Source organism: Homo sapiens, chromosome 1 (assembly GCF_000001405.40).
Source record: "Homo sapiens chromosome 1, GRCh38.p14 Primary Assembly".
Taxonomy (NCBI): domain Eukaryota; kingdom Metazoa; phylum Chordata; class Mammalia; order Primates; family Hominidae; genus Homo; species Homo sapiens.
Genome location: NC_000001.11, coordinates 164,784,510 through 164,797,779, shown reverse-complemented (window position 1 = coordinate 164,797,779; position 13,270 = coordinate 164,784,510). Strand labels below are relative to the sequence as shown.

Below are 13,270 nucleotides of genomic sequence, written 5' to 3'. Positions count from 1 at the left end.
ACTATATGTGTGCCTGGCCCTACAAGTACATGTCACAATTATCTCTTCAAAATATAGATAACTTAGAAATCCCAGCATATTTGGATATATCGATAACTGGGTAAACTTCTCCAGAGTTCAATTTCCCTCTTGGTAAAAGTAAAGGTGGTAATAAATACCTCCTTTTTACTCTGTGGGCCTATACAGAAGACAAATCCATAGAAGATCGGGTCCTTATAGCATGTTACTCTCCACTCTCCATGGAAAAGTGCTAAATAAACACGAGATCTATATAGTAAGCTCATTCCCTAGCCAACCCCAGCACCTGGAACTGTACAACCAAGAGAAGGAAATAAAACCTGGCAGCAAGTTAGCTGAAATTTGGAGACCACAGGATGGAGAGTGGAGGGCTAGGCACATGGCAAGCATCCTAGCCACCTTTCTAGAGAAACAACCTCCCGCCGGGCTGCAGCCTCCCCACCTCGTCTGGGCTCAAAGAGAGGAGGGGCTGGATGTGAGGGAGTATTGTCAAGTGCACCAGCTCTCAGCTGGGAAGCCACAGTGCTCAGCTAATAATAATGTGCTTCATTATGGTGAATAAAAATATTCACAATATCTGATGTTTATTCAGGGCACTCTATCCCGGGGCCCTTTCTGCTCTTCAATAAACAGACAGTGGGGTCGTTTCACCCACTGCTGAGGTGGAGCAAAGCAGCTGCTAAACAGCTGCTGAGGAACACACAACAGAGAGCAAAGTTCCAAGGGCATTTTAGATGGACAGAGCATAATGATCCAGATTTTTCCAGTACCTGGGAAGGAAGGAGCTACCCATACCTCCTCCTCACTTCCCTCAAGCCTTGTATCTAAAGAAGCTGGGCTACTTCCGATAGGACAGGCACTCACAATGTGACAGTAATGTGAATACTTGGGGTTACAATTGTTAATTAAATAAAACCCTCACATGCTGAATGTTTCTCAACAGAGGAGACTCTACTGTAGGCTGTCATAAAAAACAATAGTTACTTTCTGGGAGCTCAGGCTGCCTCCATAGGGCAGAGGGATTTCTAATAGACCTCCCAGGTTACAGGGCAACGTTGTTTCTGGAAGCAGACACTGAAAGGGAAGCCTTTCAAAAGTCTTGTATAAGGTTTAAGTTTACATCCTGAACTATAAGACCTATCTTCTTCCTTGACTCCTTCAAAAAGATGGATTGGATTGAGATCCAAGGATGAGATTGGATTTGGCTGCCAATCTCATCAACAAAAGTAACTGGGATCTTAGGGCTCTCTTAGCTATGAACTGAATTAACCCAGTCCAGTTCAACATTAGAGATTTAGTCCTGTTGATTCCCCAACAGCATTATTTACAAAAGCTAAAAAATCCTACAAAGCCACAAGATAATTTTTTTTTAAAGTAGAGCTTGGAATAAAATTCAGGTTTCTGACATCATGGTTTTATCTATTATAATATGACAGCTCTTAAATACCTTATAGCGCCAGGCACGGTGGCTCACGCCTGTAATCCTAGCACTTTGGGAGTCTGAGGCGGGTGAACACGATGTCAGGAGCTCGAGAGCATCCTGGCTAACACGGTGAAACCTCATCTCTACTAAAAATACAAAAAATTAGCCGGGCGTGGTGGCACGTGCCTGTATTCCCAGCTGCTTGGGTGGTTGAGGCAGGAGAATCACCAGAGGCAGAGGTTGCAGTGAGCCGAGATCGTGCCACTGCACTCCAGCCTGGGCAACAGAGCAAGACTCCATCTCAAAAAAAAAAAAAAAATGTCTTCAAAAGACTTCTTTCTTTAATAACCTCAGGGTGAAACAATGGCTGATTCAGGTAGTTTTTTGTTTTGTTTTTGGAGGGATAAGGGTGAGGGTGAGCTACAATAGCTAATTATTGTATAGTTATCTGCCATCACCATGCCAAAAATAAAACAACAAAATTAATTATTAAGTAACCAATTTGGTAATTCCAGGTAGGTACTACTAAAATACTGACATTTTCACTTGACCAAGGTTTTCTATTTTTAAAAAATCCCCATAAGGAACTGTTACAGGAAAAATGAAGAAGATATCTCTCAGACACACTAGCTAGAAGGTTAATAGCATAATTTCCCTACAATCTGCTATTTACTATAATTAACACAACTAATATTAATAAATTATTAAGCATCCAAAATGTATTAAGCAGTATTCACTTCTTAACTAGAAAATGCCCATATAAACAAATAGATGATATTTTAGTACTTTTAAAAATAATAAATACAGATGAGTAGTACAACTTCTACACTGAACATAATTTGCTTCTGTACTGATGGAGCTTTTTAGTTCTCAATTTCCAATATCTTTATTATTTAGAATAGGTAGGTAGCCACAAGAAGTTTCTGAAGAGAATATTTTTATCACAACCCTCTCTTAGGTGCCAGTAATCTAGCCCAAGGAAGTAACAGAGAGGACAACCTGCTTACCCCATTGTCGAAAGACATCCACATTCTCTTCTTACAAAGTGGAGTCAGGTATTATTCTAATAAGAGCCCTTGGGGTAAGGGTAAAATCCTGGATTCTAGGGCAAATTCTCTCCCTCATTAAATGTGTGACCTCCACCACATCTTAACCTCTTTCATCTCCATTTCCTCACCTGCATCAAAATGGAGAGGATGACAATACCTGTCCTGGGTACCCAATCTCAAAATTGCCTTGAGGAGCAAGTGCCGTTATGTCAGCCGCAGTGTTTTGTAATTGGTGACATGCTATTAAAATGTACTATGGCTGTCATAATTTTTACTCATTTTGGATGAGGATGGAAGAGTGATAAGAAGGTTTAAATCAAGGAAGCAGTTCCATATTACTGGCAACCTGAGCTCAGATTAAAGACAGTTTCCAACACCTCCCAACCTAACATCCATTGCAATTATGGTTTAGTGAAGGAAGTCGCACTCTGGGCTTGTCTTGTGTCCTGTTCTTTGGCACGAGTTAACCTGGAGGACAAATCTGGAGGACAGCTTGCTATGCCAGAGGACAGGGTTATTGGTGAAGGTGAATTAGGAAGAACATTGGGTAATAAGAATCCAAGAGGTCAGCGAGAGGTCTGTCCCCATTTGCCTTCCATAATTACCCTTTTAGGTTAGAGCAGACTGCAAATTCTAAATGATGGTCATGGTTGGGGAAACTGTCACAGTTCAGCCAGCTCTCTGAGCTCAGCATTGCCTGGGATCTGGGGAAATGTCTATATGAGCCAACACTGTGGCGAGAACATTTGTTCTTTCCCAAGAAGGCAAAGGAGGATGACTCACAGCTTCTTACCACAGCTTGCTTTTATTTTCCTCCCCTTCACCCTCCCTACACCTTGTCTGATGGTCAAATTTCACTATTCTTGGCTTCACAGCAATTTTTCTGCCCTCATAAAAGAGAGGATTTTGTAGAAATCCATTCCAAAGGTAGATAGGAGTGCAGTAATGAAAATTTATTCACTTTAAATTTTTAAAATGCCTATTTCTATTTTAAAATTTAAATTTTCTATTAAGTTTGCATTTGCCTTCTACCTAGATAGTTACAAGTGGACTGCACAAGGTCTTCTACCTTCCACTTTTTCTCTGTCTTCTTTTTTGGCTTTTAAAAAGAAAGGGGCCAGGTGTGGTGGCTCACGCCTATAATCCCAGCACTTTAGAAGGCCGAAGCAGGTGGATCACCTGAGGTCAGGAGTTCAAGACCAGCCTGGCCAACATAGTGAAACCCTGTCTCTACTAAAACTACAAAGATTAGCTGGGTATGCTGGCACCTGCCTGTAATCCCAGCTACTCAGGAGGCTGAGGCAGGAGAATTGCTTGAACCTGGGACACAGAGGTTGCAGTGAACAGAGATCGTGCCGGTGCACTCTAGCCTGGGTGACAGAGTGAGACCCCATCTCAAAAAAAAAAAAAAAAAAAAGAAAGGAAAAAAAAAAGAAAAGAAAGGTAAGGAAAGCAAAGGAAAGAAAAGAAGAAACGAAAAAAAAGAAAAGAAAAGAAAAGCTAATGATTCAATGAGAGTAGGGTAATGGAGAACTTCAATATAATGTTGCATCCCAAGAGATAACAACAAACTTATCTGCTATCTAAATGAAAGGCTGCTGTTAAAGGACTCCTGATAAAGTAGCATGCTTACACTAACCAGAGGAACTAGCATTGCTATATGATGTGTGTATGTGTTGTGGGGAGGATGGGATGGGGGTTCTCTATTAGAGAGGGGCTCTGTTATAATCGGGAGACCCTACATGTACTGCTTTGTAGTTAACAGCCTTTCTTGCCCTTTCCTTTATATAAGTTTTATGGTCCTTCACATCCGTGACTCCAAATCCACAGATCTGTGCCATACATCAGCTTTCAGAATTGAGTATGCAGAACACTGAGTCCCACAAACCATCTGTGGAGTGCCCGGATTAGAATCCCAGTTTGTCTGGCTCCAGGGGTCTCCTGAACCTCCTACCCTTTTTACAGAGGATGATTTGTGTCATATTCCATACCATATATTATGTAAAAGAGGGAATACGTTTGACTCTCAATTGAACTGAGTCTGGGTAAAGTGAGGGACTCTAGGGCCAAGTTTTAAGTCCTTTCCCATAGGATACTATGAGCACCCAGAAAAAGTATAGGCCTCCTGATAAATAAGGAAAAACAAGGGCCAGAGAAAACCTCCCACCTTCTTGCAGGTTAGCTGGTGACTCTGCTGATCACCTATAGCGCCCGGATGAGAGCCAGGCCTGCACATCACAGACACACGTTCTGGAGTCCAGGTATGGAGTGTTCCTTCTATGCACGATTTATGTTTCCTTGAAATCATTTACAGCGTCACACATTTTTTAATGCCTTTACCTCCATTGAATGCCTAGGTTTTTAACAGTTGAGACCAGGACTTGGCAGACTCAAGTTTGGCCAGGGCTCTGTGGCTGGGCAGGGGATGCCGGGCACAGGGATGCCAGCACCTGGGAAAGGTGAGCCGCTCCTCTCTGCAAGCCCCGGGGTTGTGCTTCCTCCACCCTTTCCTAAAGGGCCTGGGTGCCGAGCCCCAGGTGGTTCTGGTTACCTGCTCGTATTTCTCCAGCTCCGTATGGTAGATTTGTCTGATCTGTGAGAGTTTGGCTCTGTAATCTGAATGCTCCACTGAGTTGTCTGAACCTGCCCCTCCAGAAGCCGCCGCCGCTGCCGCCGCTGCCGCCGACCCTCCGCCCTTCTCAGGCCCCGCCACGCCTTCCGCTAACAGCATGTTGTCCAGCCGCATCAGCTGGGGGTCTGTGGGTTCCTCCTCCTGGGCTCCTCGGATACTCAAAACTACAGAAAAAGACAGGGAAGGGAGCGTTAATAGTAACCCAAGAAAGAAAATAAAAAACACAACACATTTGTGTTCTTTGGCTACATAAGCTGCCAAGTTACTTGCAAGATGCCATTTGAGGAATAGAAGAAAGGCTGGAAAAAGAGAGAAACTGAGAGGGTGAGAAAATGAAGGAGGGACTTGCTTTGTTCCAAAATTACACTCCACTTGTATGTGGAATCTCGAATAATCAAATTTATAAGAGGCAGAAAGTAGAATAATGGGTACCATGAGTTGTGGGGAGGAGTGGGGAGCTATTGTTTAATGAGCGCAGAATTTCACTTTGGGAAGCTGAGTTTTTGAGATGGCTGCAAAATAATACTCAACTGTACACTTAAAAATAGTTTAAAATGGTAAATTCGGCACTTTGGGAGGCTGAGTGGGGGGTTGATCACGAGGTCAGGAGATCGAGACCATCCTGGCAAACATGGTGAAACCCCGTCTCTACTAAAATACAAAAAATTAGCCAGGCGTGGTGGTGCGTGCCTGTAGTCCCAGCTACTCGGGAGGCTGAGGCAGGGGAATCCCTTGAACCCAGGAGGCGGAGGCTGCAGTGAGCTGAGATCACGCCACTCATTGCACTCCAGCCTGGGCAACAGAGCAAGACTCCACACCCCCACCCCCCAAAAAGGTAAATTCTATCTTATATATATTTTACCACAATAAAAAATTTCAACTAGAAAAATGTAATCATAACAAAATATATTTTTTACTTTCATCCCCATACTACCTAATTTCAATTTAAGGAAAAGCATTTCCCTCTTTATTTCTCCTTTTAAATTTCCATAAGTCTGTGGTTGTGCACTCATTGCCTTTCTTTGCAATGCTTGATCAGTCTAAATTTTTCATTTCCAAAATCACCTGAAGTACACAAATCCAGTACATGTGGAACGAAATCTTCAGACCTTTCCTGTGGACTAGCAGAGAGTGAGGTCTAACATAGCAAGAAGACAAATTGGCCCTTGAGCAGGGTCGTTTAGCTCCAAACATTGAGATCTATGTGTTCCGAGTGATAAGGACTCTGTCCTGTTGGAAACAAGGGTGAGGTCCTTTTAACAAGCTGTCTCCAGGGTTTCAGGGAAGCCAGTGCTCTGGTAGGATGGCGTCTCAGATCAATGAGATGGCTGATCTTTATGAAAACACCAGGACCCTTGGTGGTGATTTGGACTGAAGGAGATCCAGTGATTTAGTAAATCAGCAGAAGAGCGAGACAGTCTTTTTTACTACCCCTTCAGACAACCTCCCATAAAATAAATCACTCATCTAAATCCAGTTCAGTTGTCAGCAGCCAAGTCTTTGTTAAGAGGGAACATAAAAAGTGTTTTCAATTTTTAAGAAATTGAAAAGAATGTGTGGGTAGGGTGGGAAAGAGGGAAGTGATTAAAGGCAGAGGAGAGGGGTCCGGTGTTGGTTGACATTTTGGGGATGGAGGTGGCAGGGTCTAAGTCCCTGGTGGATATCCACACACCAGAGCACAGTCAAGAGCTGTTTTCATGGCAGAGTGCATCTGGTGAGCCCCAGGGGGACAGTGCCAGTTCCAGGTGTCTCCCAGCCCTGGCAAAGCAGGGCTTCGGGTTGTAACAGGGAAGGTGAAGATGAGCTCAATGAGGGTATGTCTAGATGTTTGAGCGTCATCACATATAATACCAGCATAACTGCTGGCTGTGCCCACATGCTCCTGGCTGCCAACAGGCAGCAAAAGAACCAACCCTGAACGTTGTTCAGAAGGAAATCCCAATTCCTAGGCCAAAAGGAAAACTACAGTATGGCTCTCACAAAACACGAGACCATCAAATGGAATGGCGAGCCATGTGGATCAGTGGTGGCCATAAAGAGCAAAGAGGACAAAAGGTGCAGGGCAGAAGCTTGGGCTCCGTGGTGAAGTAAAAAAGGATGAGAGGAAGGAAAGGAGGGAGGGAGGAGGGAGAGCAGGTAGCTGGGAAGGAGAAAAGAAGGAAGCCTGCACCCTAGACGCAAACCACAACACTACCACGTCATGATCTTCTCTCTTCAAACCTGAATATGTAATATTCTGCTACACAAAAACAAAATTGCCATAGTGGTGACGGCAAAAGGTTAGGAGGTCATTGAGGTTTATTTTGTGGACTTTTTTTTCCAATAAAATCCTTCCTTTGTAGGCTCAGGAGACTGAATGGGAAACTGCTCCTTTGGCTGATCTTTGCACAATAAGGATTTAGTCACGTTATTGTTTCTTAAATTTATTTACTTAAATCTCCGAAGCACTCTGAAGAACAAATTGCCACTAACAAAGGTTTCCTTAAGAAAGTAGATGGCTGCTGTAACCATGCCCTGAATACCAGGCCCTAAAGGCACCGAAAAGAATCTCGGGGCATCCAAACATCTGGCAGCAGCGCCCAGCAGCCTCTCCTTCACCTCTATGTGGTTGTTTCTCTTTATATGATAAATTTTAATAGCCTTATCCACAAAGAAATTTATGGGTCATTTACAAATTAGAAAAAAAAAAGAATCGCCTCTGAGCCATTAATAAATATAGTTGTTTCACTTTAGCTCGATTATTCAAAACATTGTGCTGGGGCAAAATTCTACTCTCTCATTCGCTCACTGAATCTCATGTCCAATATACTTCCTTCAGAAGAGGCCGTAAGCCCCCACGGCTGGCAGGAACATTCCCCACGAAGCTGAGGCTGGTAACCCTTCAGCTGGGTGTTAATGCCTTCAAGTGGGTCCACCTGGCTACTCCACACCCAACTGGTCCTGCATGCGGCCCAACACTGAGAGATTTTAGGACAACCTCTGGTCTCAACAACAACAGCAAAGCAAAAAAGAATGATGTCCTATTAATGGTCAGGACTTGCCTTGCCAGGGCTAGTGTTAAGCACTGCCTACTTGAGCTGACATCAAGTATCCTACCTCCTCCAATCACATGGGTACCCCAAGCGGCCTCATTCATTCCATCAGCTTATTCCTCCAGCCAAACTCAGTGAGGTATGAAAGAAGGGAGAGGCAAGGCAGAGAGACAGTTCTGATCCTCGCTCCTCCAGGAGCTACACAGGTGATCACGCACACATCACTATGAATATTTCCCATATACCTAATATTAACCTCTGAGAATATTTCCTCTTTCCAACCCCTCTCAGTTTCATGCCTCTGCTCCATCTTTTTAAAACACCATCTTTTTAAAATAGTCAATGGGAAGCACAAACAATTTCACACAAACTCTACACACCTCCTAATTAATACATTTCTTGGCCTTCAAATCTAACTGGTTTTAAATAAAATAAGAAAGGAAATTGTCAAGGCTGGCAAAGAACACTGAAAGGATAAACTGCAAGCCCCTACCCGCCATGGAAGTTTCAGGAGGGTTGCAAAGCTTAAAGCATAAAGCATACTGCCTCTTTTCTTTCAGGTATGAAGGATACATTTAATTGGGCGCAGTGGTGGTGGGTTGGCTGGGGCAAGAAAGTGTTAGTATTTCGCTTAGCTTTCACATCATTTTGTGAATCCTGCAAATAAATACTCCCTAAAAAGAAATTTGAATTCACTATGAGTTAATAGACTTAGTTTCTAAATGTGGCCAATTAGAAATTGATAAGATAGATACAATGCACCACGGCATAAATATTGCTTGCATTTACACTTAGAGTTCAAGACACATAAATAGGTCCCCAATCAGAGTTCTGAAGAAAACAAAAGAATGAAAAGAAAAGGGCGGGGGGGGGAGGGCGGCGGGTAGAAAAACCAACAACAGTCATTTCCAAATTACACCCTTTAAATTATACTCAAATTATGAAAATAGAAAATGATTGTGCAAAAACCCAAAAAAAATTTTTTTAAGGAACAATATGAACAAGGGAAAACCTTAAAAGAAAACCATCTTGCACTATTTTGCATAGAAAATTCAGTTCTGGTGGATTTGGGCTGTGTCTGTAATGCTTGGAGGGGACAGGGATGGACCAATAAACAACCTTGCATGCTCATATTTGTAGCCAGCGCAAGGAGAATCCAAATATACCACTATTAAGAATGGGTGTTGGGATTCACTGATACACAAACTGTTCAGCTCGGCGGTTAAAAAAAAAAAAAAACACCAACATTAAATAAATAAATGAAAAGGGTGATATGTCTAAGCAGAACTGATGCTACCTATTTATTGCTGGAAGCCAGTACTCTGGTGAGTAGGAGACAAAATGATTATTTAAAAGCTCCTTTTTATCTCTGCAGCACCATGCAAGACTCAAATGAACCTTTCGCCAGGACACCAGAGATGTTAACACTCATCCTCCAAGATCCAATTTCAACCAGCGGAGCTGTTACCTAATCCAGCAACCATCACATATGATCAGGTTCCTGCTTCCCTGATGGGTGCCCTGCGCTCTCTCCCTCCCCCTCATCTCTTCCCTCCCCACCCCAGCAGCTTTTTTCTGAAATAGGTTTTAAAGGGCCAAATCCCTTGTTTGTCCTCATGCATATAGGGTTTTAATGGCCAGGCAGGCCCGGACGCGTCCACTACCCGAAAAATGTCATTGATTGCAGTGGATATGCAATCTGCAGAGGGGTTGCGCCCATGAAGATATTTAACCCATTTGGTAATCATTCTTACAGAAAGAGTTTCCTTCCCACAAATCCACCCAATTATGGAAGAGACCAGTTGAGACAGGTAGGTGATTTATACAGGAATTGTCACAAGTCCTTTAAAAAGCTTCTGATGTCACATGTACCTTGCTGCCATCGCTTGCCCTGGGGTTAATTCTTTGGTAAAAGTCCTAAGATAAAGGGACTGTCACAGCATTGTGGGAGCTGCTCTCACCACTTGTCTCCTGCTGTTCTTTCTTTCTTTTTCTTCACACAAGGAGAAAAACAAACCAAACCCAAAGGCATAGTCAAGATCATCCTTGGCGGGAGGGCCGTGTGGCGGGTTGTTTTGTCCTTGGCTGAGTGACGTGGGTCCGGAGCAGCTCCAGCCAATGCCCACTAGAGGGCACTCTTTCTTCACCAAGGACTGGTTCTCCAGGCGGGCGGACAGTCAAGTGTCCAGGTTCATGCTGGGGGAATGCCTCTGCTCAGATTCAAACTTCCACAGGTGGGGGCAGGTTGGGAGGGGAGGAGGGCAGATCTACAGGGAGGGTGGTCTTCAGATTTGGACAACAGTCCAGGGGCCCAAAGCTGAGCTGAGAGAGAGAAACAGATAAAGAACAAGACAGAAAGCAGAGGCAGGTGGTCTGGGGAAAGGCACAAGGTAGCCTCCCAACGGTGTGTGCAAAAAGGCAGGCTCTCTCTGGCTGATCTCTTTGTTTGATTTGTAGGCACAAACCTCCATGCAGAGTGTTCTATTGCCCAGGAGCTCAGTCTTTACCACATCCTACCAGAAGAGTTAGAAAAGAGAGACCAGCTCTCCCCGCCTCATTCCCAAGTCAGCTATGCAGTTTTAGGAAAAGAGCAAAATGCTTGCTTCCTGAGAGCATCAGAGTTATACCTTTTATTTGTTCATAAAGTACTTGCACGCACTGAATTACATCACCTTACAAAACATGAAGTAATGTTCCAAACTTACATAGCAGATAACCGAAGATTATAAAGGCAAAGCACATTTCCCCAAAATCAAAGCAAATGAGACACAGCCGACACTGAACTCTAGATCTTTAACTCTCAGACACTTCAGTCCTCTACAATATTGGAGTTCTGAATCCTTTTCACAACAGGCAGCTACATGGATGTGATATCTATTCTGTGCGTGTGTGTGTGTGCGCGCGCACACACACACACACACACACACACACACACACACACACAGTCTCTTCTGATGCCCAAGGCACACCGATACTCTGGCCAAGAAGAAAACAATCAGATAGTAATGGAAAGAAGGAAGTTTTTTCTATTGATTTCCTAATTTCTTTTAATTTCTCTAAATCTGGTCCTTTCCCATTACCTCTTTCCACCATCATGGTTAGAGCCACTGTATTGGGTGATAGAATGCCCTCTTCTTTCTCAGCCACAGAAATCCACTTACTACAGTCCTATTTCATTTTAAATCTCAGCTCAAAATCCTTCATGAAATCTGCCCTGACGAGAAGAGCCGAAAATGATCTCTAAGCCTCTGAGGCACCAGGGCACGTACTGCCTAGACCACAGCCATGGGGCATCTCAGGACATGCCAGGGCACACCTACCATCTTGCCAGCAAGACTGTGAACTCCTGAAAGGCGGTTCCCCACACAACCTCACAGGGCCCCTGACACTAAATGTCTGTTCCAATATTTCTTAAGAGCAATATAATAAAGAATCAAGGAGGGAAGATACGGGCTGGTGAGATCCAAGGATCTGTGCCTCAGCTTCCTGTTCTCAGCCAGGCAGCCAATTCCCTGTATGTGCTCTCTTTCCCCCTGCATTCCAGTTACAAGTTGTACCAGAGCCAGCATGCTGTTGGGTAGAAGGCTGTTCTCTCTGCCACCTCTTCCATATCCACTTCAAAAAACTGTCAAATCTGCCTTATCAAATCTGACAATTCTAAACAAGCAAAACTACACTGGCATTAAGCCAGAGCTTCCTGGACCCAGCCTGGTATGACCCCAGGAAGCCAACATTACCGGTGACAAAGGCTCTGGGTGCTGGGAAAGGCCTGGTTCCTGACTGGTACCTGGGGAAGAAGCACTCTGTGAGGGCTGACAGGGCCTGGCAGCCAAGGGGCCACATAGAGGTTGTCTCCACAAACAGGCCCTCTGAGGAACGCTCAGTGCAATCAAACAAATTACTGCTCAAGTACCTCCAAGGTGACAGGAATGAGCTGGATCCTGGGACCTTGGATGACCCAGATATGGGCTCCGACTTCAAGAAGCCCATGGTTTACGCTCCTCCAGTCCCTCGGACACAGGACACCAACTGCTTTGAGGCTTGTGGGTACATGAGATTGCCAGGGTGGGTGGATAACAACTGAAAATCTGAAGATTTGTGTGCATCCAACTGATGCACATACACTTCTTCCTCTGATTTTGTTTACTTCCTATAAGCACAATATATCCACAGCCCGGAACCTCCTCAAGTTGAAAAATAACTATGCTCTAATTTGATTCTTCTCAACCAAAGGTGGGACCCAAATCTTCTGTTAGTGTCTTGAAACTCAGGGCAGCAGGTCCTCGTGTTCTTCACTCCTTATTCTCAATCTCTCTGTTTGATGTGAAATGCCTTTTTTAATGGTGATTTTTAAAGAGTTATTCATCAAACAAATAGAAATGACTGATGATTCTGTTTTCTAAATTTTACAAGTCAGCATTACTGATAGGTGTCAGTCAGCGCTTCTGATTATACAGGGAAAGCAGTTACCACCCGAGTTGACACCTTCCAGCCCCAAGTGGAGACCCTGGATGCTGCAGTAGGCCTGGAGCGGCCTCTTCAGATGAGAAGCTGTAGTTTAAGAAATCTCCAAATGTTGAAAGCCACCCTTGTTCCCCCGGGTTGTCTCTCAGCCCTCTAGAATCTCAGAGACACCGAGGTGGGACTTAATCTAGGTCCAGGGTTTCTTAAAGTGGGGGATTTGTATTGAAGGTAAGATATTATTGTTTTTAAGCCATTCCAACTGTTTTTCTTGGTTTGCCAAGCAGGTAGGCCAAGTTCAGGGATTTGAAGGATTTAGTAAATGAACCAAGTTCAGGGATTTGAAGGATTTAGTCAAACAAAGGCAAGAATTTGCGGCCCTCAAATGTTTCAGCCCAGGAATATTTATTGAGCATTTACTATGGTGCCAGGCACCGTGCTGACTTTCCAAATAAACGTGGTCCTGCGAGGAGCTCTTAGATTCACTCGTTTTTCACATTTAGCCAACAGCCACAATGTGTAAAACTTTGTGTGAGGTTTTAGGGCAAGAGATGAAAACAAAATTATATGACACTCTTGAGACAGTTTTAGGTTTTTGTTTGTTTGTTTATGTTTTGTGGTTGTCTTTAGAGAAACACACCAAGTTTTTCTTGTC

General features: G+C 43.8%; 1 protein-coding gene across 11 annotated transcripts in view; it reads right to left on the bottom strand.

The window, feature by feature from the left end:
- Window positions 1–13,270, bottom strand: part of PBX1 (PBX homeobox 1) — a 326,864-nt gene that overhangs the window by 88,268 nt on the left and 225,326 nt on the right. For all 11 annotated transcript variants that reach the window (XM_011509590.3, XM_011509592.3, XM_017001395.3 and 8 more), the window contains one exon: window positions 5,042–5,286. In XM_011509590.3, coding sequence (XP_011507892.1) covers window positions 5,042–5,286 — 245 coding nt within the window. The remainder of the gene's footprint in view (window positions 1–5,041; window positions 5,287–13,270) is intronic.